Raw genomic sequence first — 27,210 nt, 5'->3', positions numbered from 1 at the left:
TGGGACTGCGAGTAGTTTTCGCCTTTTCCCGAAGACGCACACAATGCGCTTAGGTATACCTCGCGCAGAGGTCTCTGCAGAGAGGAAAGCCACCGTGAGAAGAGCGGGGAGCCCCCAGGCAAGAAGGCAGTGGCTTGTGTGTAGTGAACCGAAATGCGACACCAAGGAACTGCAACAGGATTCTCCTTTCCACTTGAAATGTGACTCCCAGCGAGACACCTACCCTTGACGCTCCCTGGACAGTGCGGCACGGTCGGGCCCACTAACCAAGGCAATTTGCGCCCGACCGAATCAGGTGCTTCAAAATCCCCCCTGGTGAGCCGCGCGTTAACCACACATAAAACAGTCAACGCAGAAGGAGCGAGAACGTTCGGCCGAAAAGCCCGGCACAGAGAAGGGAGGGGTGCTGAAAGCCGCGGACTGCAGCCGCTGGCCTGGCTGCCGCCCCGAAACAACGCCCACGCCCGGGAGAAGGGCAGGCTGGCGTCCAGGTAGGACTCCCTCAGGCCGCCCCGCCAGGGGCCGCGCCGAGCGGAGCGGCTGGACCCCAACCCTGCCGGCCGCCGCCGAGGTGCGCAGCCCGCAGCCCCACACCCACGGCCTTTGCAACACCCCAACCGTTGAACTGCGCCCCTACACGCCCGGCGTCTGCGGCTCCCAGGCCGGTGCCGATGACGTCAGACTTACGTCAGGCGTGACGCCACGGCTGGGAGGAGTGAGGACGGCGCGGGAGGGCGTTTCCGGAGCACGCGCCGGGCGGGGGCCGCTGACGTCGGGCTCAGGTGCGCGCGCCCGCCCGCACGGCCCAGTTGGCGGCGCGCACTCCAGGTGGCGGCCGGCTGCGGTGAGGGGACCGCCAGCGGCGAGCAGTCCCGGCGGCCCTGGGGTCTGCGGCCGGGGGCGCGGCGGGAGGGCGTCTGGGCCTGCGCTCACGTGACGGGCGGGGAGGTTTGTGTAGGGGCTGCGAGCCGGGTGGGCGCGGGCCCGGGAGCGCGAGGCTGACTGTCCGGCCCCACCCCTCGCGGGCCAGCCCTTCGCCGCGCGGAACCTTCCCTCGGGCAGGGGCCGGCCCCGCCGCTCACTTCCCGCGCCCGCTCGCCGCTGACCGGAGTTGTCTCCTCCTCCGCAGGGCCGCGGCCAGAGGGCTAGAATCCGCGCCTTCCGAGGGAGCCGCGCCCTGCGGGCCCCACCGTACCCGAGGGGATGGAGGGCTGCCCCCGAGGCCCCCGCGCGGCTCGCGGTCCCACGCCTGCCGGCCCGCGCTAGCTACTCGACTCGTGCGCTAAATTTATCCGTCACCCAGGCCTTGTCTCCCGAGTCATTGGCGTCGTGGTTCAAAAGAAATGGAAGAAAAGGAGCGATGTGACCGATTGTGTTCGGTCCTCCTGCTTTGAGGCCTGGCATTTGCAGAGGGAAACAGCAAGAAAATCGTGGGGATTTTGGAGGGGGGTGGGAGGGAAGGGTGGGGAAACGGAAACAAGGTCTTACATTTTATGTGTTTTTTTAAATTCTGCACTTTGACAGTGGTAGCAAAATAAAAGTAATCCAAAAGTTATTTTTCTATTGAGAAGAGAGAAGAGGTGGGTTTTATTTTTTTCCTTTTGATTCCAATCTTTTCTCCCAGTGACAAAGCATAAATCATGGACACCAGAGAATAAGGTGGACCTCAGGAATCCGGAAAAGACTGAGAAGCTTACATTCTTCCTCTAGAGGGAAGAGTGGGGTGTTTATAGCCATCTCTGGAACCTAAAACAAAAAACATGAGTTGTGTGCCATGGAAAGGAGACAAGGCCAAATCTGAATCATTGGAGCTGCCCCAGGCAGCACCCCCACAAATCTACCATGAGAAACAGCGCAGGGAGCTTTGTGCCCTCCACGCCCTCAATAACGTCTTCCAGGACAGCAATGCCTTCACCCGGGATACGCTGCAAGAGATTTTCCAGAGGTAGGGGACCCTTCTCCTTGGCATCTTGATACTGATATTTCTGGATTTCTGTGGGTGGGGCAGTGTCTCAGCTTCATAAACCTTCAAAGCTGTAGGTATTAGCTAGATTGCGTTAGCAGGTATAAGGGACACAAGACATGAAAAGATAATCACTACCATTTATCAGGCACTTACGGTGGGCTAGGAAAGTACTCATAGCCTCAGCTGTGTTTTCTTGAGTGATCTTCAACAGTCCCGTGGAATACGTGTTAATATGTGATGTTATTTCCATTTTACTGATGAAGACACATTTAGTTCAGTACCTCGCCCAAGATAACAAGACTTGGAGCTGGGGTTGAATTCTTATATCTATGCTGTTGACCACTATGCTATAATGCCTGTAAAGCTCTGCTGCCGAGGAGTTTACAGTCTAGAAGTGGGACTAGATACGTACACGTTCAGTCACCTGTCTTTAAAGGTGGAATGTGGTGGGTACCACAAGCAAGATGTATAAACAATGCTCAGCTTTTCTGTGAGGCCATGTGCTGGCAGTAGTGCTGTTCGTACATTGCTTTGTGAAGCTCTCCCAACAGTCATTTCACTGCCTGTATTATGCTGATAGGCAGAAAGGTCAGGTAATATGTCCAAATAGCTTCTAAATAGCAAAGCTATAATTTGAAGTTGACTCCAGATCTCTTCTTTCTCCTTTATTCTAGATGGCCTTTCTTACCCACTTAGAACAAATGCCACCCCACAGGTTAATAGAGGTTCAGGTTTTGGCCAAGTACGGTGTAATCCCAGCACTTTGGGAGGCCGAGGAGGGCAGATCACCTGAGTTCAGGAGTTTGAGACCAGCCTGTCCAACATGGTGGAACCCCGTGTCTACTAAAAATACAAAAATTAGCCCGGTGTGGTGGTGCACGCCTGTAGTCCCAGCTAGTCGGGAGGCTGAGGCAGGAGAATCGCATAAACTTGGGAAGTGGAGGTTGCAGTGAGCCAAGATTGCACCACTCTGCACTCCAGCCTGGGTGACGGGTCTCGGAAAAACAAAAAAAGAAGTTCAGCTTTTTTCTCTTTGCTTTGATTTTCTAGAATTACTTTATTAAAGGTTTTGAGAGTCAGTTCTGTGGTGTCTTAATGGACACAACAGCATGGCTGCAGTCCATAGCAACTCAGGTGATGATCTTGCCTGATGACCCCGACTAGAAGTAGTTAGGCCCGCGCAGTCCTCGCTGCAGAGAAGCTCAAGCATTCTTCAAGCAGTGCATATTAGCAATTCCAGAAGACCTTTTTCTTACTCTCTTAGCTTGGAAGTGAAATTGTTGCCACATAGGGACCAGAATTACAGCTGGAAGCAACCTATTTGGGGTGATTTGTAAAACACAGGTATGGACCATTTGCCCTGAAAGAGCCAAAGGCCTACTCTTAGGAGAATGTTAATCCCCAGATGCAGACAAAACTATAATGAGAGTAATTATTTTCCAATGCCAGTAGTAACCAGAGTAATGCCTTACCAGAGCTAATATATCATTTGCATCATGGCCATTATCTGGCAGCAAGTAGAATTGACTCTTCAGGACCTGGGGCACTGGGAGATAAAATAATTCGTCTCAGATCATCAGGTCATGTCACTGAAAGGAGGACCCAGTACATGCTTCCTTTTGGCCAGCCATTAGTATTTCTCCTACTCCTAATCAGATATTTGCAAATTATTTCCTGAGCTAAAACTAGGGAGAAGGAAAGGACTCAGGGTGAGTACCTCAATGGCTTAGTACTTTGTGATATGTATGAACAATCTTGCAACAACCTTATCAGTGATGAACTTAGGAAACTAGGATTCATTTTAGGCGATTTGCCCAGTTTCACCTACTAGTAAATAAATTCCAGAAACAAGATTCTGTGTATCCAGTCACACTCTGGTAGAAAAGTTTTCACTTCTGTACATTTGGCCCCTGATCTGACTATGGGAATAATGATAGGATCACTAACACACATGAACACTTGGTGCAAAGCACCGTTCTGAGTGCTTTCCTTGTGTCCACTCAGTCCTCACACTGATCTTCCAAGATGGATTCTGTTGCTGCCCATTTTTCCAGTTGAGGAAATCATGGCACAGAGTTCACAGCTATTGATGGCAGAATTTGGCCCCACGCCTTTTGACTCTAGAACCTGCCCCGCTAACCGCTCTCCTGTTTCTCGAGTACTGGAAGCGCCTGTAGAGTGCTATCAGTAGCTGTTCCTCCAGCTGCTGAGCTGGGCCAGCACTGACGTTCTGGACTGTGCTCATCAAGTGTGTGTGGATGATAACAAGAGTTTCTCAGCTTTGTTCTCCTGAATACAAGAATGCTAAATATTTGCTAAATGCCCACATGGAACTAAGATCCTATTCCTTTTGAAGCTTTAGCAAATTGTACTGCATTCCCCAATTCTAGCAGCATAATATAAAGATCCAAAAAGTGCTGGCAAGCCAGCACATAAGGGCATGTATTCTGTCCCAACTCCAGAAGTGGAATTCTGTGTAGAGTATTTTATATTGAAAGAATGTATGAGTAGGTAGGAACAAAAAATACAGAAGTGTGAAAGGAATCTAGAGGAAAAAGCAAAGGGAGAAGAGGTGAGGGAGAGAAGATGGAATTTTTTAAACAAACATTGACTAGCTGCCTGCAGAGTGCCAGGCACTATGAGGCACCATAGAGAAAACGAGTCGAACAGGCCTCAGCCCCTGAGAAGCACATCTCAGCTATGCTTTAACCAGGCCTTGAGACTAGATTTAAGTGAAGTTAGAACCCTGGCATTCAGAGCAATTAAAAAGTGAAAAGTGATCAATTTGGACCTTAGCAGATATAATTCTATGCTGTTTAAAAGTGTGGCTAGTGAATGGTAGAAATGGGAGGGAAATGTTGATAAGCACTATTTGTTGAGAGGAAGTTCATCCTAGCAGTTGAATTTTAGCCAGAAAAAAGAAGCAAAATACAAAAGCAGGGTGGAGTTTCAATAGAGTTGTGGATGTGAGATGATTCATGCTTACAAGTGAATAGGAACTCAGAGCTGAGCTAATGACTCAACATGGCGGCAACAAGGACAGGAAGAGAGGAGTCAGGTGTGTCAGAGGCTTGGTCCAGGATTTGAACATAGTGGTAACATCTGCAAAAAGAGGTCATTTGTTTAAAAAGCATCTGTTTTCAACCTGTGAAATTGGAGAAAAGATAAACTGGGCAAGTGTCATCAGTGTATATGTATACAGATGTAGATATTAGATCTCATCATTTTATATAAAGAATGTGGGCCAGGCACGGTGGCTCACGCATGTAATCCCAGCACTCTGGGAGGCAGAGGTGGGCACATCACCTGAGGTTAGGAGTTTGAGACCAGCCTGGCCAACATATAGCAAAACCATGTCTCTATTAAAAAAAACAAAAATTAGCTGGGGTGATGGCACACGCCTGTAGTCCCAGCTACTCGGGAAACTGAGGCAGGAGAATCACTTGAACCCAGGAGGTAGAGGTTGCAGTGAGCCAAGATCGCACCACTGTACTGTAGTGTGGGCAACAGAGTGAGACTCCCATCTCTCAAAAAAAAAAAGGGGGGGTATAAGGTTTGAAAAAAAGGGTCATAGAAATCAAATTACATGATGGCAGCTTTGCTAGGTGGTTTTGAAAATGCTCAGGCCTGAAACATTTTCACTAGACTCATCCCAGTTTTTTAGTGATCAGATTCTTACATCTAGTTCTGCATTCCTCTCCCAAATAGGATTTTTCCCCCCACCCGAGACGGAGTCTTGCTCTGTCTGCCTAGGCTGGATTGCAGTGGCGTGATCTGGGCTCACTGCAGCCTCCGCCTTCTGGGTTCAAGGAATCCTCCTGCCTCAGCCTCCTGAGTAGCTGAGAGTATAGACGCCCGCCACCACATCCGGCTAATTTTAGTATTTTTGGTAGAGACGGGGTTTCACCATGTTGGCCAGGCTGGTCTGAAACTCCTGACCTCGTGATCCACCCACCTTGGCCTCCCAAAGTGCTGGGATTACAGGCGTGAGCCACCGTGCCCGGCCTTGGATATTTAATATTAAAATTTAACCACGGCTGGGCTTGGTGGCTTATGCCTGTAATCCCAGCACTTTGGGAGGCCGAGTTGGGTGGATGGCTTCAGTCCAGCAGTTTGAGACCAGCCCGTGCAACATAGTGAGACCCTATCTCTACAAAAAATTTAAAAATTAGCTAGGCATGGGGGCTCGCGCCTGTAGTCCAGCTACTTGGGAGGCTGAGATAGGAGGATGGCTTGAGTCCAGGAGGTCGAGGCTGCAGTGAGCCATGTTCGTGCCACTGCATTCCAGCCTGGGCAAAAGAGTGAGACCTTATCTCAAAAAAAAAAAAAAAAAAAAACTAGGCAAAAAGTAGCTTGGTATCAAGGGAAAAAAATCTAATGAAAGTTGGAAGGAGCAAAGAGATTGGGGATATTGGTGAACAATTAGCATTCTCTACCACAGAGGATGACTATTCCAGCCTCCCCATTACATAGTCCTTGAGCAGGTGGAAGGGGCCACATTTAGAAGTATGGTGGTTATAACTGAGAAAAGTTGTTGTTAAGTATTAACCTCTAGAGACTTGAATTCTCTTGTCCAAGGGCTAGGCAAACACGTAGTAATAATAGCTAACACCTACGGATTACTAATGTGTGCCTAGCTCTTTGACCCATGCCTGATTTAGAAACATCAGGAAGTTCTGAGCCATATTTTCTGATGTCACATCTCTTCAGATCTGATAAGGAAAGAAAGAATTAGGGCGGGGAAAAGAATCTTGATGAAATGTCTCCTATCTCCTTTTTCATTAATATCCAAAATCATCACCATAGTCAGACACAGTGGAAACCATGAGAGAGGAACAAGGACTTATCTGAGGACACAGACAGTGGGGAGACCTGGACTAGAACCCGTCTTTTCACTTTTTTTTTTTTTTTTTTTTTTGAGACTGAGTCTCTCGCTCTCTTGTCCAGGCTGGATTGCAGTGGCATGATCTCGGCTCACTGCAAGCTCCGCCTCCCAGGTTCAGGCCATTCTCCTGCCTCAGCCTCCCAAGTAGCTGGAACTACAGGCGCCCACCACCACGCCCGGCTACTTTTTTGTATTTTTAGTAGAGATGGGGTTTCACCGTGTTAGCCAAGATGGTCTCGATCTTCTGACCTCATGAACCGTCCACCTCGGCCTCCCAGAGTGCTGGGATTACAGGCCTGAGCCACTGCGCCTGGCCCGTCTTTTCACTTTTACATCACTTCACATCTCATGGCTCTAACCTCTGGCTGTGGATGACAGAAGTGAGAGGCTCACTTTGTAGCCCAGAATTTCTATGGAAATCATTAAGACAGTCCCAAACAGGAGTTTGCCAAGGAGTCTCAAGAATACTTTCCACTGGAATCATCAGGATCCCATGGAACTCAGTGGGACTGGTGTGTTGAAATATCCAGAGCACTCTTCAGTATTGTCTTAGGGTAGAGGCTGACCCTAGCCCTGCCACTCACCAGCTGTGCCTGACTGTGCAAGTCACCATAACCTTTGCACCTCAGCTTCCATGTTTATGGTATCTCAAGATGGCTGGAAGTGATAAAGCCCATAAAAGCAGCTAACACAGTGGCCACTTGATTACTGTTAAAAGTACAAGCAAGTGCTGGTGTGGTGAATACGCTGGGTGGGCCCCACTTATTCAAATGACCATTCCTCTAGCATGAGATGGAAGCTACTCAATATTTCCTGTATTCAAATTGCCTAACGTGTTTATTGAGTTGCCAGTGCCTAGCTGTGAGGGATATAGAGTAAAAAACTATCCAGGGATTTAGTGTTTGATTGAACATATATGAAATAACTGAATTCTCCAACAGTCCTATAAAATAGTAATTATTTCCATTTTTACAGGCAAGGTAACAGGCATGGAGATTAAATCCCACAGTTAGTGTTGATCGGTGCTAGGATATGAACTCAGATATGTATGGTCCTCACTCTCCCTCCCTTTTTTACAGAGGATCCAGGGAAGATCCTATGGAAGAGATAGGGTGTGAAGGAGCTGTAGGATTTGGCTTGGAACAGGAAATAGGATAAAAGAATAGAGGCTGCTGGGCACAGTGGCTCAAGAGGGAGGCTGAGACAGGAGAATCAGTTGAGCCCAGGAGTTTGGGGCTACAGTGAGCCACAATCATACCACTGTAATCCAGCCTAGGTGACAGAGGAAGAAAAAATAGAATAAAGGCCATATGATCATGGTGCCTAAAGTGCACTAAGCCCAGTGAGAGGGATATAGCTGGCCAAGTGGGGCCAGGAAGTGTAGAACTGGCCAACCAGGCAGTTGGTACCATTGTCAGTTCCTATATATACAAAGGGAAGTGAATTGATGCCTTGGTGAATTTGGCAGGAACATAGAGGCTGAATTGGTGGAAGGAGCGCTTGGAAGCAAAGTGATCAATTTTTAGGAATCTGTTTCAGAAGTCAAGGTGTGAGGTAAGGAGCCTCTGGTTAGGAGAGAGATGGAGTGGTAATAGGAAAGGATTTGAATCCAAGACAGAAGATGAAGGACAGGGAAGAAAGATCATTGGAAAGCTAGTTCTGTAAGGTACACCTCAAAACAAATGTGTGGTCAAATTTGTTTGGGAACTGAAGCATATTTTATAATCCCCTTTCCTTGAGATTCAAAGTGAAGATTAGCATGTTAGGGACTCCAAGAATTCTGCAGGAAACCCATTTACCTACTTGGTTCATTCAGCTGTTATTGTATTGGATGCCTTCTGGGATCCTCTGTTAATGAACATGGAAATGGCATCTCCAGGAGCACCCTTGGGAAGCGCCGCTCTAAGGTTTGAGCCTGGTAGGGAGTTAGATGGTGAATGAGGTGGAAGACTCAGCATTTTCCTTGTTGGAGCCTTCATTCATGTACTGGTCAGAGACTTCAGTGAAAGGAACAAGAAACTTGGGAAAGGAACCAATTATATCAGGGGCTAGGCCTTCTTTCATATGTGTTCTGTTCTCTTTTTTTCTTTCTTTTTTTTTTTTTTTTTTTTTTTTGAGACAGAGTTTTGCTCTTGTTGCCCAGGCTGGAGTACAATGTCATGATCTTGGCTCACTGCAACCTCTGCCTCCCGGGTTCAAGCGATCCTCCTGCCTCAGCCTCCCGAGTAGCTGGGATTACAGGCACCTGCCACCACACCTGGCTAATTTTTTTGTATTTTTAGTAGAGATGGGGTTTCACTATGTTGGCCAAGCTGGTCTCAAACTCCTGGCCTCAAGTGATCCTCCCACCTCGGCCTCCCAAAGTGCTGGGATAACAGGCGTGAGCCACTGCACCTGGCAGTGTGTTCTCATTTAATCCAAACGTGTGAGTACCCATGGAGAGCCTTTGTCTTTTTAAGCTATGTTTCATCCCTAGTCCTCAGGGATGTAGCTGGCCTCTCTTCTTTTCAAGCCCCCATCCCCTGCCACTCTGATTCTTGGGTCCTTGCTGTAAGACAGCAAGCATAACTTTGGATTCAAATGAATCCACAGTGGAATCCTAGTTCTGTCACTTGCAAGTGCTCATGGGCAGGTCAGTTAAAACCACCAAACCTCAGTTTTATGGACCTATACAATAGAAATAATTCATATCCTCATAGGTTTATTGTGAAGATTAAATGAAATGCAAATTAAAGTACCTTATCATAGTGCTTGGCACAGAGATTTTTCAATAAGTTATAGTTATTATTACAGGTAAGATAAAGTTTGGTTGCAGATTTCTTTGCTAGCCCTGGAGATGAGCATATAAGCCCTTTTAAGAGTCAGTTACTGATGTTTACAGGGAAAGAGAAGGACAACAAAAATAAACACTGAACATTTCAGCAAACATTCCTTGAGCACCTGTCTTGTGCCAGGCACTCTTTAGGCCCCTAGCAGTGTAGCGTTCACAGATAGTCAAGGCCCCTGCTGTCAGTCTAGTGTAGAAAAACAGACCAATGAGAAACACATCTGGTAGTGACAGGGCTGTAATTAAATCAAAAGGTTGATGTGAGGTAGTGACTGGGAGAAACTTATGGTTGGGTGGTCAAGAAAAGGCCTCTCCGGAGGTTGTAGTAAGCTGAGATCACTCCATTGCACTCCAGCCTGGGCGACAGAGCCAGACTCTGTCTCAAAAAAAGAAAAAGAAAAGGCCTCTCTATGGCAGTAACATTTGACACCCAAACAATAAGGAACTACAGAAAGAACATTCTAGACAGCGGGAACAGTGAGTGCATGAGTGCACAGTGAGAAAAAGAGCTTTGTTTTTAGGGAACAGTAAGAAGGTCAGTGTAATAAAAGGTAAGAGATGAGATCTGCAGGACCTTGAGGGCCTTGCATGCCAAAGGAAGTAGTTTAGAGTGTATTTAAGTGCTTTAGGTGCCATCAGAAGGTTTTAAGCAGTGGCAGGAGTATGTTTGTTGTTTTTAATTCTGTGGGTTTTTTTTTTTTTTCTTTTTTTTTGAGACAGGGTCTTACTCTATCACCCAGGCTGGAGTGCAGTCATGGCTCACCACAGCCTTGACTTCCCTGGCTCAGGTGATCTTCCCACCTCAGCCTCCCGAGTAGCTGGGACCATAGGCACATGCCACCATGCCCGCCTAATTTTTGTATTTTTTGCAGAGACAGTGTTTTGCCATGTTGCCCAAGCTGGTCTCTAACTCCCAGGCTCAAGCGATACTCCCACCTTGGCCTCCCAAAGTGCTGGGATTGCAGGTGTGAGCCACCACTCCCGGCCAGGAGCATGGGGTTTTGTTTTGTTTTGTTTGTTGGTTTGTTTTTTGAGACGGAGTCTCACTCTGTCACCCAGGCTGGATGCAGTGGTGACATCCAGCCTCTGCCTCCTATGTTCGGCTCACTGCAGCCTCTGCCTCCTACGTTCAAGCAGTTAGCTGCCTCAGTCTCCTGAGTAGTTGAGACTACAGGCGTGCACCACCACGCCTGGCTAATTTTTGTATTTTTAGTAGAGACGGGGTTTCACCATGTTACCCAGGCTGGTCTTGAACTCCTGACCTCAAGTGATCTGCCCACCTCAGCCTCCCAGAGTGCCGGAATTACAAGCATGAGCCACCGCGCCTGGCCAGGAGTATGTTTTATATTTGAAAAATACCAGTATTGCTGAGTTCAGTGGCTCACACCTGTAATCCCAGCACTTTGGGAGGCTGAGGCGGGTGGATCACAAGGTTAGGAGTTCGAGACCAACCAGCCTGGCCAACGTAGTGAAACCCCATCTCAACTAAAAATACAAAAATTAGGTGGGCGTGGTGGCGGGTGCCTGTAATCCCAGCTACTTGGGAGGCTAAGGCAAGAGAATCACTTGAACGCAGGAGACGGAGGTTGCAGTGGGCTGAGATCGCGCCATCACACTCCAGCCTGGGCGACAGAGCAAGACTCCGACTCAAAAAAAAAAGAAAGAAAAAAAATACCAGTATTTCTGCTGTGCACAGAAAAATTTTAAAAATACAAGATTTCTTAAGTTTTTTAGAGTTGACATCCTTGGCCTAACGTCTTGATTCTTTTCTGGAGATGGCATGTAGTAGCCTCTTGATCATGCACTTTATGTCCTGAGGAACTCGCCACACTTCCCTTTCTCCCCTTCACACGAAGCCCAAAGGTATGCCCCTTGAACCCTTCCTTCAAAATGGCCTTTCCCCAGCTCCTGGCCTGACAAGTTTATGAAGGTAAAATAATAGAATTAGAAATGCCTTCAGCATGGACCTTGTCTTAAAATACAGACTGGCTAAAGAAACCTGGAAGTAAATGGCTTCAAGCTGGGTGGGCAAACCAGTGCTGCAGCTGAGTTTTGTTTGCCTGGCACAAATTTTTTTTCAGTTGATTTATTGGGTATTTTAAGAAAAATTTATTCAAGTACTACACACACACACACACACACACACACACACACACAGAATGCCTTTAGGTGGGTCGTGCATTCCAGTAGGCCTCACTACTTTTTATTGCCTTATATCCAACCCCAGTTTATACATTTATGTCACCTGTCTAGGCTCCTGTATGCCTTTGAGTATTTAATGATTAATGATTACCAAGTTTGCAGGCCTTAACTAGAAAGCAGGAGTGACACCAGTTACTATCCATGCAAATGAAAAGATTGAATCCTATTTTCCAATGTTAAAAAAAAAAAAGGCTTGCATGAGGCAGGAAAATCAGTATCAGGAGGAAGAGCAGAAAGGCTGCAGGAGGCTGGGATTTCATAAGTGAGTCACCTTCATGGAACACTTACAAAATACTTAGGTAGAAGCTGGGGAAATTGCACTTGAATGTGGGGAAACTAACTTCCAGGGGCAGTGATGTAAAGTGCTCTCCATCCCTGGTAGTGCGGGGTCAGGGGGTTCAGGCATCCAGCAAGTCTCAGCCCTCCTCTTTTCACATTGGTAGGTTGTCTCCAAACACCATGGTGACACCTCACAAGAAGAGCATGCTGGGAAATGGCAACTACGATGTGAATGTCATTATGGCAGCACTTCAGACCAAAGGCTATGAAGCTGTTTGGTGGGACAAGCGCAGGTAATCTGAATCAGGCTTGACTTGATGGAGAACAGCACGGTTGTGGTATAAGCTTTTAGTACTTGGGCTCATGGCATGAGTGGGGAGGTAGCCAGTTGTGGTATTACAGCCAGGGAACCTTGGAAAATGGGCTGCATCAGAGCCTGCCACCATTTCTCCCCTGCAGGGATGTCGGTGTCATTGCCCTCACTAACGTCATGGGCTTCATCATGAATCTGCCCTCCAGCCTATGCTGGGGTCCACTGAAACTGCCCCTCAAAAGGCAGCACTGGATCTGTGTTCGAGAGGTGGGAGGGGCCTACTACAACCTCGACTCCAAACTCAAGATGCCCGAGTGGATTGGAGGCGAGAGCGAGCTCAGGTAATCGGCACCTTTTGTGACTAAGTTGCTAGGCTGCTTCATTTCTTAGGTTGGGGACACTGAGCTCATCTCTGGTTATTTGACAAAGGAAATGAAATTCCTGTGCCCTTGGATTCTCTCCCTGCCTTAGAATCATAGTGTCTCGGACCTGACCTTAATCTTCAATGGCGCATCAGTACTTTTAAGTCCTTTTGGTAGGGAAGATGCCCAGCCTGGGATACCAGCCTTCTAGTCTGGTGGGGCTGGCATTGTAACGTTCTCTCTATTTAAGACAACTGAGACAGTGTAGTTGCCAGTTCATAGAAAGGAAGACAAACATGCAGGCCAGGGAGCACTGAATTTCCCCAGGACCAAAGAACATTTGTAAAAGTTCTTTAGAGGCGATTGCTCACGCCTGTAATCTCAGCACTTTGGGAGGCCAAGGCGGGTGGATCACCTGAGGTCAGGAGTTCGAGACCAGCCTGACCAACACGGTGAAACTCTGTCTCTACTAAAAATACAAAAATTAGCCAGGCGTGGTGGCGGACGCCTGTAATCCCAGCTGGTCAGGAGGCTGAGGCAGGAGAATCACTTGAACCTGGGAGGCAGAGGTTGCAGTGAGCCGAGATCATGCCATTGCACTCCAGCCCAGGCGACAAGAGCGAAACTCCGTCTCCAAACAAACCAAGAAAAAGTCCTTTATATACTTTGGGTACTGTTATTCACAGATCCAGCTACTCTTGGCAGTAACTACAAGGATGAGCAAAATTCAGGTTGGAATTTTAACTGGACAGATTGGAGGGTAACCAAATGTGGAACCCTCCAAAACCAGATGACTACAGGGATGTGTTTTGGACTGCCGAGGGTAGAGTGAGGTTTCAGGTGACTTTGTGGTCCTGAGACTGGAATTTGCAACTTGCCAGCATTTCATTTTCTCTATCTCTTTTTCCATAGGAAGTTTCTAAAACATCATTTGCGAGGAAAGAACTGTGAACTCCTGCTGGTGGTACCAGAAGAGGTAGAGGCTCATCAGAGTTGGAGGACCGATGTGTAACAGTTCTGCCCAACCTCCCTCTCGCCTCAGCCCCTTCAGTCCTCTGTGACGTGCTGTGGCCTCTACAGTGGGTCTGCCCTTGCCACTTCCCCAAACATCTCATCAAGTTTTTCCCCTTCAGATCTGACAGTGCAATAGGACAGACGTGTGGACTGTTATAAGAACTACTCAGTGTTTTGTTCCTGGGCAAGGAAGGTAGGAGTTCTGTGCACTTAAGGCCAGTGGTCACAAACCCTTGTTTTATTTAAGAGACAGAGGAGAAAGTGGAGCGGGGAGGGAATCCTAGCTTATTTTCCCTTTTCTATGAGGACTTGACACAGGTTCTGCTGAGTTGTCACTGCTGCTCCAGACTCACCTAGAGATGCTGCCTCCACTTTCCATCCTGTCTGGGTCTGAAAACAGTGGGTCTGCAGATAGTGCCCACAAACCCCATGTGACTGGTTTGAAGGACCCAGAGCATAAAGGTCTCTCAGGAAACCATGTCCAAAACCCTAGCAGCGGTACAGCATGCTGTCTCCAACCCTTATCCCCAGGTTTAAGGGTGGTTTATGGCCATACGTGGAGGTTTTTTGTTGTTGTTTTTGAGACTGAGTTTCACTCTTGTTGCCCAGGCTGGAGTGCAATGGCACCATCTCGGCTCACTGCAACCTCCACCTCCTGGTTCAAGCGATTCTCAGGCCTCAGCTTCCCAAGTAGTTGGGATTACAGGCGCCTGCCACCACACCTGGCTAATTTTGTATTTTTAGTAGAGATGGGGTTTCTCCATGTTGGTCAGGCTGGTCTCAAACTCCCGACCTCAAGTGATCTGCCCGCCTTGGCCTCCCAAAGTGCTGGGATTACAGGCGTGAGCCACCGCACCCGGCAGAGTTTTATAATGAAAAATTAACTAATATTCTAGTATGAAGTGAGGAGGATACTGAACAGGATGTGGCTAAAGCCAACCTGGGACAGCCATGGGGTGGCTTGGTTTCTTCACTCCAGTGTTGTCCCTACCATTTCGCAGCATTGATTTAGGAGGCTCTGGGACAAAAGAGAAGCCAAAGAGCAGTTTTCCCAGTTCACTCACTCTGGCAAAATCAGGAAAAAAAAGTCTGCTTTTGACATCAAATTCCACTAATTTGGGGCAGCGTTGGGTGAGGAAAGTATTGTGAAGACAGGCTTCTTGGAGTAGGGGCAGCCACAATTCAGTAGACACTCTAGGCTCGGAGGCTGCCACTGTAGTTGCCAAGCTCAGGTTGGGTGGTTCTGTGCTGTATGGATGGAATAGGACCTGGGCTGGTCATCTTCATGTCGTTTCCTCTCTGTATCAATGGAAGTTCAACCCGCCCCTACCTCTTCAGATAGTTGTAGGCCACTTTTCTCTTGTAACTTTGGAAAACAAAAGAGGAGAAATAAGTATCATACCATATGCGTGTCTCCAAAGTGGATGTGGTTGCCTCAAGGCAGGTGGCAGGCAGGGGTGACCTGCTGGCCCTCAGATCAATGGTCGTGGCAGGTCTGAGAGCTGTCCCACTGGCCAGACTTCTCTCCAGCAGCAAAGCCAGCCTGGGGCTTGCATGTTGATCCTGAGCAAGCTTAACGGGGTGAAGCTGGGCTTTCTCCCCCCTGTGACTGGAGTGCATGTTGACACCAGCACTTTTTCTGCACATGTATCTTCAATCCAACAAGGCCGTTTTTTTAATGCTGAGTAACAGGCCACCAAGCGGCTACTGCGTTATATCTTCTCAGCAACTGGCCGCAGTCTCTTCTGCACCATTTTCTACACCAGACCTGCTTGGCACCACAGGGAGCTCTTTTCCTGCCCTGCACAATGACATTCCAACCACCACCAGCCAGACATTACAGCCAACCTTGCTGATTGTCACAAGCAGGACCTTGGGGCCACTGGCACTGTCAGATAGTAAGCCATTTCTTGGGTAGAGGAGGAAACTCCTCTCCACAAATCCACTTGGGCCTGTGCAAATGGCACTTGAAAGAGTCCCCATGCACTTGGAGTCCATGAGCCAATGGGATATGCAAAGACGCTTAAACATTTCAGGGCTGGTTTCTCTGTTCATATCCAATTCTGGTGCTTAGGAACAGGGACCCATGCTGATGCCCAAGGGCAAAAAGCCCCACTTCCTTTAAGGAAGTGAACAGGCCTGACCCTGATGCCCAATAACGGGCAACCCTAGGCTTTTTGTTTTTCTTGCTTTTATTCCTTTTTGTTGTTGGCCTTGTGCTGCGTTTGTTTACAAAAGATGTATTTTGTTTAACCAAATATTAAAAATGGAAAACTCCATATATGTCTCCTTGTCTGCCTGAATTCTATAATTGTGTAAAGAAAAATAAACTTTAGTATGACGCTGTTTTAAAAGGAGTTCATTGCCAGCGTAAGTCATCTTTTAGAGACATATCATTCTTTGATTAACTCTTTCACCTGAGAAATCCAGACAAAATAGTCACTGAAATGGGATTTGGTTCAAAAGATGTCTCTAAGACATTTTTCAGTCTATTTTAATTTATAAAAACTAATCTTGACAATTTGAAGAATCCACCTAAGTACAAGTTTGTACCACACTGGTGACTAGTGTTTTTCCCTAGTTAACAAGTGAAAGATCATGTATACCCAGCGGGCCTGGGCCCAGCCCCACCATCCCGAGCGCACAGCAGCAGTGTTCTGTAGCTGGACTGCCTGGATTTGAATCCAGGTCTAGCACTTAACTCTGCAGCCTTGAGCAATTACCTTTCTGTGGCTGTTTCCTCTTCTGTAAAATGGGAACAGTACCACCTAGATTGTAGTGTTGGTTGATCTGATAAACACACAAAAGGCTTACTCTGGCTGGGCGTGGTGGGTGACGCCTATAATCCCAGCACTTTGAGGGGCCAGAGGCGGGTGGATGGCTAGAACTCAGGAGTTCAAGACTATCTGGGGCAACAAGGCGAAACCCTGACTCTACCAAAAATAAAAGAAACTAGCTGGGCACGGTGGCGTGTACCTGTAGTCTTAGCTACCCAGGAGGCCAAGTTGGAGGGGAGGTAAGAGGTTGCAGTGAACCCAAACGACACCACTGTACTCCAGTGAGACCTGATCTCAGGCAAAAAAAAAAAAAAAAAAATTCTGTCCCCCTCCCCTATTCCCCAGAAATCAGTACTATGTTATTCCCTACAAATACTTTATAATTACACAGTGTCATTATAGACTAAAGAAGTACATAGACCCAATCCTTTGTTTTAGGCTGATGGATCTCAAAGTGACTGCCTAAATTCAGGGCAAAGATTGCTATGAAGTACTTGGCTAAAAATGAATTTTCACTTGGAAACAATTTGGGCCTATGGCTGTTAAGATGGAGGTGCTGCTGGTTTAGGTGAGAAAATGTGAGGGGCAGTACATGTCTCTGACGTGGTCTCATTTCAAGGTACTTAGGATGACACTTTCAGTTGGAATCATTTTTAATATTTAAATACAAAAAGTGAGCACTGACTTCTCTTTTTTTAAACACACACACAGGTCTAACAGCCAAAATGTGCAGAGGAAATGAGCTCCTGCTGTCTTCCATAGTCCCCATTCTGTGGCTGAAGCTGCAGCCTGCCTCCCTCCTCTCATACATAGGGATTCATAGTGGCCACTTTACACTACAGGTGTAATGCATTTTGTCTGTTTCACATTGTGTGCATGTCCTGCCCCAACAACTCCATTCTTTAAAAAAAAAAAAAAAAAACAGTCGTTAATGGTCAGGGGCACATCCCTCCCACTGGCATCGGTTCCTACCCCACAAGGGGAAAGTGAGATCTTCCAGTTAGGAGCAATTTGGTGAAAGGAGTCGGGTGACCAGAGCTGGAATAACCATCTGCATGGCTGCACTCTGGTATCAGAGTGGAGACAGAAGTAAGGATAGTGTGGAGGGCACAGTTGCAAGTTGAGTCTTTCCATGAGACAATGTGGGGATAATTCTCCCCACCAGGTTTAGATAGATCAATGTGCCAAAGTTAAAAAAAAAAAAAAATCCAAATTATCAGCAGTTCAAACACTTGAATTTCAAACTTATCCCACTGAGACAGCTCAAACAGCAATAACAATCTAGATCTTTCCAGGAAGTGAGGGTAGAGCCCCTGGCATTCCTCCTGAGAGCCCTGTGTTAGGTCCTAGAAGTATCTGGAAAAGAAAAGGAGGGGTGTAAGGCATCATACAGGCCTAGAGAGCTTATTCTCACCATACCTGATGGGGCCAACGTCTACAAAAATAATACTGAAAGCACAGTCAGACAACTAAAAGAGCATGGGCCCGATCCCAATCCCCACCCACACATTAACTGTTGGTCAACTCAGGTGCTACAACAGGAGCCCTCAACCCCTGGGCTGTGGACTGGCACTGGCCCATGGCCTGTTAGGAGCTGAGCCACACAGCAGTAGATCAGCAGCAGGCAAGTGAGAGAAGCTTCATCTGTGTTTACTGCTGTTCACCATCGCTCACATTACTGCCTGAGCTCCACCTCCTGTCAGATCAGCAGCAGTGTTAGATTCTCATAGGAACACAAACCCTTGTGAACAGTGCATGCGAGGGATCTAGGTTGCAAGCTCCTTATGAAAATCTAATGCCTGATGATCTGTCACTGTCTCCCATCACCCCCAGACAGGACTGTCTAGTTGCAGGAAAACAAGCTCAGGGCTCCCACTCATTCTACGTTATAGAATTATTTCATTATATATTACAATGTAATAATAGAAATTCAGTGCACAATAAATGTAATGCACTTGAATCATCCAGAACCCCCCCCCCGACCCCCGGCCACCCCCAACCCACCATCCATGTAAAAACTGTGTTCCATGAAACCAGTCCCTGGTGCCAAAAAGGTTGGGGACCAATGTGTTAGTGAAATAACTTGCGTCTCCACCACTGGCAAAAAGCCCAAGGTCTGGGCTCACCTGCCGCTGCTGCAGTTGCTGCTGTTGCTCCATTTGCAACTTCTCCGTCTCAAAGACAACGGGAAGAACCAGGATCATAAAGGAAGTGGTCCCAATCCACAAGGCTGCCCTGGAAAACCTGCAGAGGAAAATCCCCAGAGGGTGAGCATGAAGACATGCAAACAAAACAGGCAAGAACTACCCAGTAACCAAACCTCTCACATTACATACTCCAATGTTTTTGATAAACGTATTCTACCCGCTCCTTACACCATACTCCTACCAGAGACAGGAGGAGCAGCTATGGTAGCTGTATCATCTAGTGATGGCGGTTTAACATTCTCCTGAGTTCTTACAAAGCTCCTTATTCATTAATTATCTCCAACAATCTGAAATAACCCCCACAACTCCCCTGCCAGGTAAGAATCCCCATTTTACAGAAGAGGAAACTAAGAAAGGATAGGGTACAAGCCCAAGGTCACCCAACACGGGTCTGCTGCTTCCAAACCCCGTGTTCTTTCACAGCACCACGACCATCCCATGCACGTACCCAGTGCCTTTGCCCTCGTTCCTTACCTGTACATTTTCTGAGCCACAAAGAGGGAAAGATCAAAAGTGGCTCCGGCCGCGGACCGGACCCTCTCCGGAAACATCTCCGTCAGGCCCCATAGTCTCTCCGACAGGGTCTCATCTAGCTGTGGTGGAGTAGACGCGGGTCTTAGCCGAAAAAGCGACATCCATTCCTGGCCCCGCTGCGGCACTGGGAGCCGCCGAGCCCCACTGGAGCTAGGGCACCCAGGGCCCAGCAGGGCCCCTAACCCCGCCTCCCAAAGCAGCCGCTTCGCTCCGATCCCGTACCACGCGGATCCCACACCCACGAGCGGGCCCGCTTCCCGCTCTGCACCCCGCGAGGCCCTAGTACCTCCTCATCGTCGTCCTCCTCCAGCTCCTCCTCAGGCTTCTCCGCGTCGCCTTTCGGGAGCAATTCGTCCGGGGACTGGGGTTCCCCTGCACCGGCAGCAGCGACGGCGGCAGCCATGACTGTAGGGGACACCGGAAGCGGAAAGGAGGTGAGCGCAGCCGAACGGCGGACAGAGCTGCTTTTCCGGGAGCCGAGGCGCGAGCCGGGCGAGAGCGGCGCCCTCTAGCCCCGGGTCCTCCAGTGCCCGCAGCGGGTCCGGCAGCCCTGGCCTTATCCGGGCGTCGGGGCTTCGGCGGGCATTAGCAGCAGCTGAGAGGCCTGTGAGAGGTTCTGGGGCGCCACCGCAGTCATTCTGTTCAGCGGGTATAGGGTGAGCTCAGAAACTTGCTTGTTTTTCTTTTTTTCAAATGCGTTGTTTTAATTCCAGGTAATAGAGTTCAGGGGAGAACAAAGATCAAAGGGCTGACTCTGGCAAGATTCTGGGGGCTTGTTTTACTTTAAGTTCACAGCTAAGGTAGGAGTGGCTGAGTGAAAACAACTCAAGAGATGATGAGCCACTGTATTTTTTTTTTTAACAAAAGTTTATTCTTAAATTTACAACAGGCTCCAAGACAACACTTTATTCGAGCATAGGTGGCCAAAGATGTGGCCGGGAATAGAGATGTTTAAAGACGAATGGAGTCAGGCCCACCATCACCGCAGGCCCAAGGGACAGTGGAACAGGTCGCTTTTTGTAAGATTTTAGCTTTTTGTTGTTGTTGTTGTTGTTGGTTTTGTTTTGAGACGGAGTCTCGCTCTGTCGCCCAGACTGGATGGAGTGCAGTGGTGTGATCCCGGCTCACTGCAAGCTCCGCCTCCCAGGTTCAAGCGATTCTCCTGCCTCAGCATGCACCACCAACCACGCCCCGCTAATTTTTTGTATTTTTAGTAGAGACGGGGTTTCACCATTTGGCTAGGCTGGTTTTGAACTCCTGACCTCAAGTGATCTGCCCGCCTCGGCCTCCCAAAGTGCTGGCATTACAGGCATCAGCCACCGCACCTGGCCTATATATAGTTATATATTATATATAATATATATTTTATGTGTGTGTATATATATACGTATATATGTATATATATGTATATATGTGTATATATGTATATATGTGTATATAGGTATGTGTATATATGTATATATATACATACGTATACATATATACGTATTATGTATATATACATACACACATATACACACACACACACACACACACATACATATATATATAAAGACAGGGTTTCACTGTGTTGCCTAGGCTGGTCTTGAACTCCGAGACTCAAGCAATCCGACTGCCTCAGCCTCCCCAAGTCCTAGGATTACAGGCCTATGCCACTGCGCCCCACCTTGCCGGATTTCTTAATTCGGCCTGTGACCAGGGCCAAAGATTTATCTTCCTTGTCCATCTCCTTGGCCTGCTTCTTGGGCTGTTTTAGAGAGACACTGATCCAGTTTCGTTTTCCTGAGCCATGTTTTACTTGGTAGGAATAAATTAGTGTCTTGCAGGTCTTTTGGGAAAACATCAGGTAAATCTTCCCTATGTACCAAACAAAGGTAAGAGTTAACACCTAAATACCAGGTGCTCTGGTGCCTGTGGGTGTGGGTGGGTGCGGTGTGTCCTCCTTTAATCTTCACAGCAGCTCACTGGGGTAGGCACTGTTATCCCCATTTTAGAAATGAGGAAACTGAGGCATAGTACATAGATTTCTAGTAAGTAGGTGAGCTGGTCAGAAAGTATGCAGATATAAATTTTTGTTTGAGTTTGTGTGTTTGTTTTTGAGATGGAGTCTTGCTCTGTCGCCCAGGCTGGAGTGCAGTGGCATGATCTCAGCTCACTGCAACCTCCTGGGCTCAAGCGATTCTCCCGCCTCAGCCTCCCAAGTAGCTGGGACTACAGGTGTGTGCCACCATGCCTGGCTAACTTTTTGTATTTTTAGTAGAGATGGGATTTCACCATGTCGGCCAGGCTGGTCTAAAACTCGTGACCTCAGGTGATCCACCCGCCTTGGCTTCCCAAAGTGCTGGGATTACAGGTATGAGCCACTGCTCCCAGCCTCTATCAGATGCTTTCATAATAGTACAGTAAATGGAAATGTCCTTGTCCCACACCCTCCCCAGCATTAGGTGTTATCCATCTTTTTACTTTTTGCCTATATGATGGATGTAAGTGCTTCTTTTTAAAATGTGCCCCATGTTATTAAACAGGGTAATTTGATAAACACCTTTAGCCAACTGAACCTGGAATCAGAGACTCCCAGGATGGGAGAGTCCAAATCCTTCTGTGATGCATGAGGATGCAGTAATGAGCATTTGTCCTGTGTCTCACACTCCTTCCGATACAGTCCCCAGGCCTCCCTTTCATCTTTGGACAGGGCATCTCTATCAGACACTTTTTTGTGTTTGTTTGTTTGTTTTTTGTGATGGAGGCTGGAGTGCAGTGGCGCAATCTCGGCTCACTGCAACCTCTGCCTCCCGAGTTCAAGTGATTCTCCTGCCTCAGTCTCCTGAGTAGCTGGGATTACAGGCATGGCCCCGGCTATTTTTAATAGAGATGGGGTTTCGCCATGTTGTCCAGGCTGGTCTCGAACTCCTGACCTCAAGTGATCCAGCCTCCTTGACCACCCAACATGCTGGGATTACAGGCGTGAGTCTGGCCTATCAGACAGTTTTCATGTGACAAAAGGGTACTCCTGTATGATTCCATTATATAAAGTTCAAAAACAGGCAGAAACCAATCTATGATGAGAGGTCAGGACAGTGATTCCCTTGAAGGGGTTAATTTTGGAAAGGGGCAGGAGAGTAGCTTCTGGGATGCTATGGTTCTCTTAGGTCTGTGTTGATTTTGGGTAATTCATCAAGCTGTACACTTATGAACTATGCTTTTTTGCCTGTGTTAAAAAGGTTACTTTTTTAAAAAGAGCGGGGCTGGGTGCGGTGGCTAATGCCTGTAATTGCAGCACTTGGGGAGACTGAGGCGGGTGGATTACCTGAGGTCGGGAGTTCGAGACCAGCCTGGCTAACATGGTGAAACCCCCTGTCTACTAAAAATACAAAAATTAGCTAAGCGTGGTGGCAGGCGCCTATATTCCCAGCTACTCGGAAAGCTGAGGCAAGAGAATCCTTGAGCCTGGGAGGCGGAGGTTGCAGTGAGCCAAGATTGCGCCACTGCACTCCAGCCCGAGCGACAGAGTGAGACTCTGTCTCAAAAAAAAAAAAAAAAAAAAAAAAAAGCGGGCTAGCCCTTTATAATTTCGAGGGCAGCTTAAGAGCCCAGTGCCAACAGCTTTTAGTTCTTTTATGGGTTCATTTAAGAAATGCTAGAAGACTAATGCTATTGAACGTAGAGGGACCAATCTTATTTGAAAAGCACAGACATTAGTGACTCCAAATGGAAAGTAATTCGCAATGCTAATGTGGAGAAGTTTTAGGAAAACCAATGAATTTTGCTTATATTCATAAGAGCAACACATGATTTAAAAAAAAAAAACCTGTTTAAGGATGAAAGAGCTCTTTCAATGATTATAGAATTTCCAAGGGATAAGAAAAAATACTGGAAATCATGCAATGCAGAGTGTTCAGAACTTTGGGAGGAGATGAGATGATCTAGAAAAGATAGAGTGAGGCTGGGGGCAGTGATTCATGCCTATAATCCCAGCACTTTGGGAGGCTGAGGCAGGTGGATCACCTGAGGTCCAGAGTTCGAGACCAGCCTGGCCAACATGGTGAAACCCCATCTATACTAAAAACAAAAATTAGCCAGGCGTGGTGGTGAGCACCTGTAATCCCAACTACTTGGGAGACTGAGGCAGGAGAATCGCTTGAACCCGGAAGGCAGAGTTTGCAGTGATCCAAGATTGCACCACTGCACTCCAGCCTGGGCGACAGAGTGAGATTCCATCTCAAAAAAAAAAAAAAGAAAAGAAAAGAAAAGGCAGAGTGAGAACAGAAGACAGAGCCCTGGCCGGGCGCAGTGGCTCACGCCTGTAATCCCAGCACTTTGGGAGGCTGAGGCGGGTGGATCACGAAATCAAGAGATTGATACCATCCTGGCCAACATGGTGAAACCCCATCTCTACTAAAAACACAAAAATTAGCCAGATGTGGTGGCAGGCGCCTGTAGTCCCAGCTCCTCAGGAGGCTGAGGCAGGAGAATTGCTTAAACCCGGGAGTTGGAGGTTGCAGTGAGCCGAGATCACGCCACTGCACTCCAGCCTGGCAACAGAGCCAGACTCTGTCTCAGAAACAAAAAAAAAAGACAGAGTCCTGTGGAATCAGACATTTAAAGATTGGGGAGAGAGGGAAACCAGAGGGCTGAGGAATTGCTGAAGTCTTCAAGAGGAAGGCTCAGCAGCAGAGATGACATGGTGAGACTGGTGCCAGGATGGAGGTCGCATCAGTGGACAAGGGTGTCAGCAAGTGAGTGGCAATGCCCCATGCTAGGAGCCCAGGTGACTGCCATCGGATGGGAGAGGCAGGTTCAAGAACGCTGGGCTCTTAGCTCCTCTACTCCCCATCTCTCGAGCCCAAGATTTCCACCTTGCTTGTTTCTGTCCTGTCAGAATTAGAAACATGTGATATAGTAGCTCTTAATTGGGGGGTGGGGGCATGGCTCCCTTCGAGAATCCTATAAAAACTATAAGCCCCTCTCATTAGAAAGTGCACATTAGCCCATGCCTGTCCTGTTGTCTGCGCAGTTCCCCTTGCTAGGACTCAAACTCGGTCTTCCTGCCATTACTGCCTCTAATCCTGCACTCATGCCCTCCCTCTCGTCCACAGAATCTTCTTTTCTTTTCTTTCTTTTTTTTTTTTTTTTGAGATGGGAGGCTTGCTCCTTTGCCCAGGCTGGAGGGCACTGGTGCAGTCTCGGCTCACTGCAACCTCCACCTCCCAGGTTCACATGATTCTCCTGCCTCAGCCTCCCAAATAGCTGAGATTAGGTGCCTGCCATTATGCCAGGCTAATTTTTGTATTTTTAGTAGAGACAGGTTTTTGCCATGTCGGCCAGGCTGGTCTCAAACTCCTGACCTCAGGTGATCCGCCCGCCTCGGCCTCCCAAAGTGCTGGGATTAGAGGCATGAGGCACCGCGCCAGGCCCTTTTTAAATTTTTTTTAAAGAGACGGTGTCTTGCCCTGTCACACAGGCTGGAGGATACAGTGGTGCAATCTTGGCTTACTGCAGCCTCGATCTCCCAGGTTAAGGGATCCTCTCACCTCGGCCTCCAAAGTAGCTGGGACTACAAGTGTGTGTCACCACGCCTGGCTAACTTAAATTTTTTTTTTGTAGAGATGGTGTCTCAGTATGTTGCCCTGGCTGGTCTCAAACTCCTGGGCTCAGCCCAATCCTCCTTCCTTGACCTCCTGAAATGCTGGGATTACAGGCGTGAGCCACTGTGCCTGGCCAATAAAGTCTTTGAGGATGAAGAATTTTAGCCAGAACCTGAAGGATATATCTGGCTCTATTTAGATTTGAAAATATATAATGTCTCAAGAAAAACAAAACAAAACACCTCGCTGAAGCAAACAGGGTTAGTGTGGCGATATATGGGTGATTTTTTTTCCTTTTCTCCTAAAGACTTTCATTCATGGGACTGTCCCTGATTCCCAGCCATCACGGGGAGGCTCTACCTTCAAGTGTTATCCAGAATCAGACCACCTCACCTCATCTACTGTGGCCTCCCTGGGATGGGCCTGGCCTCCTTCAGTCTGTTCTCACCACAAAGCCACCAGAAGGATCCTTTTATTTTTATTGATTGATTGATTGATACGGGGTCTGACTCTGTCAGCAGGCTGGAGTGCAATGGCACGATCTCACCTCACTGCAACCTCTGCTTCTTGGACTCAAGCAATCCTCCCACCACTGCCTCCTGAGTAGCTGGGACCACAGGTGCACACCACCACACCCAGTTAATCTTTTTGTATTTTTGGTAGAGATGGAGTTTCACCATTTTGCCCAGGATGGTCTCAAACTGTTAAGCTCAAGCAATCTACCCACCTCAGCTTCCCACAGTGCTGGGATTACAGATATGGGCCACCACGCCCAGCGCCTTTTAAAAGTGCAGTTGGATCATAGCATTTATCTGCTCATAACAATGGCTTTTGCTTCCCCGCTCACTCAAAAGAAATTCCTTCTTCACTGCAGAACTGCCCCTCCTACCACAGGATGTTTAGGGTTCCTGGCTGCAACCCCCAAAGGTCCTAATGGTGCTGGTCATGGGGGGATCCACACCATTGTGACAACGAAATATGCCCACATGATGCCCAAGGCTTCAGTCCTGGCCCCACCCTTCCACTGTGTCACTGTGCTGGGTTGGTTTTCTCATCTAAAACATGGTGATGGGGATAACAAACTTGAAAGAGTGTCATGCAAATGAGGTGTCCAGCATCGGGAGGTGTCCAGCATCAGGAATATTAATAAAGGGTCCCCAGTGATACCGGCCGAGGCATAAGCAAACTCCACTGCTCCTATTATCTGCACCTGAAGATTTACACCTTGCATATATGTGGATCCTTTTCCAATTTCTTCTGTATTAAACATTCTCTCCTGTATCAGAAAGTCAGGTTATGGGTTGGAGCTACAAATCTGCCCTTCGATCCATCCCCCCCATAGAGTGCTTTGCTGGCCGTAAGGATGGACTGCAGACAGCAGCTCCCTTTGAGGCCGCCCCCAGCTCCTCTCTTTCATAGCGGGCTGTGTGAATCAAGCTCCAGCACTTCTACTGTGTGATCCTAGATCAGTGTCTGAACCTCCCAGAGTTTCCTTCTCTGCAGATGGATGTGCCGATAGCCCCTGCTACACAGGGCTGAGCTGAAGGGGAAATGAGACAGTGAGAGCAAAGGGAGCCTGGTGCCAGGCATGTACCGGGCATTCAGAAGTGGCTAACCATGGTAGCCTGTCCCTAGTCTAAAGCCCTGGGCACCATGCCCCCACCTCCACCCCCTCAGTTCCTTCCCGCTTGACTTCAGGAGCTGGATTCCCTCCTCTTGCCAGAAAAGTCCAGCTCATACTGCCTACGGCACAAATTCTCACACCAACCATTAGGTTCCTGCCAGGTCCTGGCCAGTCCCAACACCATGAAGCAGGAGGGCAGGCGAATTTTGAGCAGAGAGACTGTTTCTGTTTGGCATCAGCCTCTGCCAATGCCCAGGAAAGCTGGAATGCTCTCCTACAAGAGTGACAGTTCCCCACACACTAAACATTCTTTTTTTTTTTTTTTTTTTTTTTGAGACAGAGTCTTGCTCTGTCGCCCAGGCTGGAGTGCAGTGGCCGCCTCCCGGGTTCAAGTGATTCTCCTGCCTCAGCCTCCCAAGTAGCTGGGACTACAGGCATGTGTTACCACACCCAGCTAATTTTCTTTTGTATTTTTAGTAGAGACGGGGTTTTGCCATGTTGGCCAGGCTGGTCTCAAACTCCTGACCTCAGACGATCCACCCACCTCAGCCTCCCAACGTGCTGGGATTACAGGCGTGAACCACCACGTCCGGCCAATTCTGTCTTTTGATGGAACAACAGAGGCTTAGACTCCA

At 48.0% G+C, this 27,210-nt stretch overlaps 2 protein-coding genes and 1 long non-coding RNA gene across 8 annotated transcripts, besides 5 other annotated features; 2 read left to right on the top strand and 1 right to left on the bottom strand.

Annotated features, from left to right (window-relative positions):
* Positions 339-1,298: a silencer, noted in NCBI's record as "silent region_13726". NCBI's record gives its function as "represses an Ori minimal core promoter by ATAC-STARR-seq in GM12878 lymphoblastoid cells {active_cell/tissue: GM12878}" and the evidence as "EXISTENCE:reporter gene assay evidence [ECO:0000049][PMID:35858748]".
* JOSD1 (Josephin domain containing 1) lies at positions 345-16,205 on the top strand. Of its 6 annotated transcripts, none has more exons than NM_001360235.2 (5): positions 345-491; positions 1,130-1,945; positions 12,324-12,452; positions 12,619-12,813; positions 13,747-16,205. In NM_001360235.2, the coding sequence occupies exons 2-5, from the start codon at positions 1,761-1,763 to the stop codon at positions 13,844-13,846; spliced, it is 609 nt and encodes a 202-aa protein (NP_001347164.1). In that variant the 5' UTR covers positions 345-491; positions 1,130-1,760; the 3' UTR covers positions 13,847-16,205. The 6 variants fall into 6 exon arrangements, with proteins under 6 accessions (NP_001347164.1, XP_005261935.1, NP_055691.1 ...); XM_005261878.4 differs by having other exon boundaries at positions 345-782; NM_014876.7 differs by lacking the exon at positions 345-491 and adding an exon at positions 805-844.
* Positions 16,206-16,326: 121 nt separating this feature from the next.
* On the bottom strand, positions 16,327-19,791 carry TOMM22 (translocase of outer mitochondrial membrane 22). Its single transcript, NM_020243.5, has 4 exons — positions 19,653-19,791; positions 19,307-19,425; positions 18,752-18,869; positions 16,327-17,981 (listed from the first exon to the last, which is right to left on the bottom strand). Exons 1-4 carry the CDS (start codon positions 19,767-19,769, stop codon positions 17,907-17,909), a joined length of 429 nt encoding a protein of 142 aa, NP_064628.1. The 5' UTR covers positions 19,770-19,791; the 3' UTR covers positions 16,327-17,906.
* Positions 18,804-20,003: an enhancer, noted in NCBI's record as "BRD4-independent group 4 enhancer chr22:39077750-39078949 (GRCh37/hg19 assembly coordinates)". NCBI's record gives its function as "activates an origin of replication core promoter dependent on BRD2, P300/CBP, MED14 and CDK7 cofactors, and independent of BRD4, by STARR-seq in HCT116 cells {active_cell/tissue: HCT116}" and the evidence as "EXISTENCE:reporter gene assay evidence [ECO:0000049][PMID:35650434]".
* Positions 19,448-19,497: a silencer, noted in NCBI's record as "silent region_13725". NCBI's record gives its function as "represses an Ori minimal core promoter by ATAC-STARR-seq in GM12878 lymphoblastoid cells {active_cell/tissue: GM12878}" and the evidence as "EXISTENCE:reporter gene assay evidence [ECO:0000049][PMID:35858748]".
* Positions 19,688-19,757: an enhancer, noted in NCBI's record as "active region_19015". NCBI's record gives its function as "activates an Ori minimal core promoter by ATAC-STARR-seq in GM12878 lymphoblastoid cells {active_cell/tissue: GM12878}" and the evidence as "EXISTENCE:reporter gene assay evidence [ECO:0000049][PMID:35858748]".
* Positions 19,888-19,957: a silencer, noted in NCBI's record as "silent region_13724". NCBI's record gives its function as "represses an Ori minimal core promoter by ATAC-STARR-seq in GM12878 lymphoblastoid cells {active_cell/tissue: GM12878}" and the evidence as "EXISTENCE:reporter gene assay evidence [ECO:0000049][PMID:35858748]".
* Positions 19,892-26,232, top strand: TOMM22-DT (TOMM22 divergent transcript). Its single transcript, XR_007068097.1, has 2 exons — positions 19,892-20,022; positions 25,259-26,232. It is a non-coding gene; the product is annotated as a TOMM22 divergent transcript (long non-coding RNA).

Source organism: Homo sapiens, chromosome 22, assembly GCF_000001405.40.
Source record: "Homo sapiens chromosome 22, GRCh38.p14 Primary Assembly".
NCBI lineage: Eukaryota > Metazoa > Chordata > Mammalia > Primates > Hominidae > Homo > Homo sapiens.
The sequence above is the reverse complement of the archived record's forward strand: the minus strand, read 5'-3'. Positions and strand labels throughout refer to the sequence as shown.

Bases quoted from the DNA above. Each gene is read 5' to 3' on its own strand.
- JOSD1 (NM_001360235.2), top strand. From the start codon at position 1,761: ATGAGTTGTGTGCCATGGAAAGGAGACAAGGCCAAATCTGAATCATTG. The intron at 1,946-12,323 runs GTAGGGGACCCT...TCACATTGGTAG, and splicing joins CTGCAAGAGATTTTCCAGAG to GTTGTCTCCAAACACCATGG. The intron at 12,453-12,618 runs GTAATCTGAATC...TCTCCCCTGCAG, and splicing joins GTTTGGTGGGACAAGCGCAG to GGATGTCGGTGTCATTGCCC.
- TOMM22 (NM_020243.5), bottom strand. From the start codon at position 19,769: ATGGCTGCCGCCGTCGCTGCTGCCGGTGCAGGGGAACCCCAGTCCCCG. The intron at 19,426-19,652 runs GTACTAGGGCCT...ACTCCACCACAG, and splicing joins AGGAGGACGACGATGAGGAG to CTAGATGAGACCCTGTCGGA. The intron at 18,870-19,306 runs GTAAGGAACGAG...TTTCCTCTGCAG, and splicing joins GTGGCTCAGAAAATGTACAG to GTTTTCCAGGGCAGCCTTGT.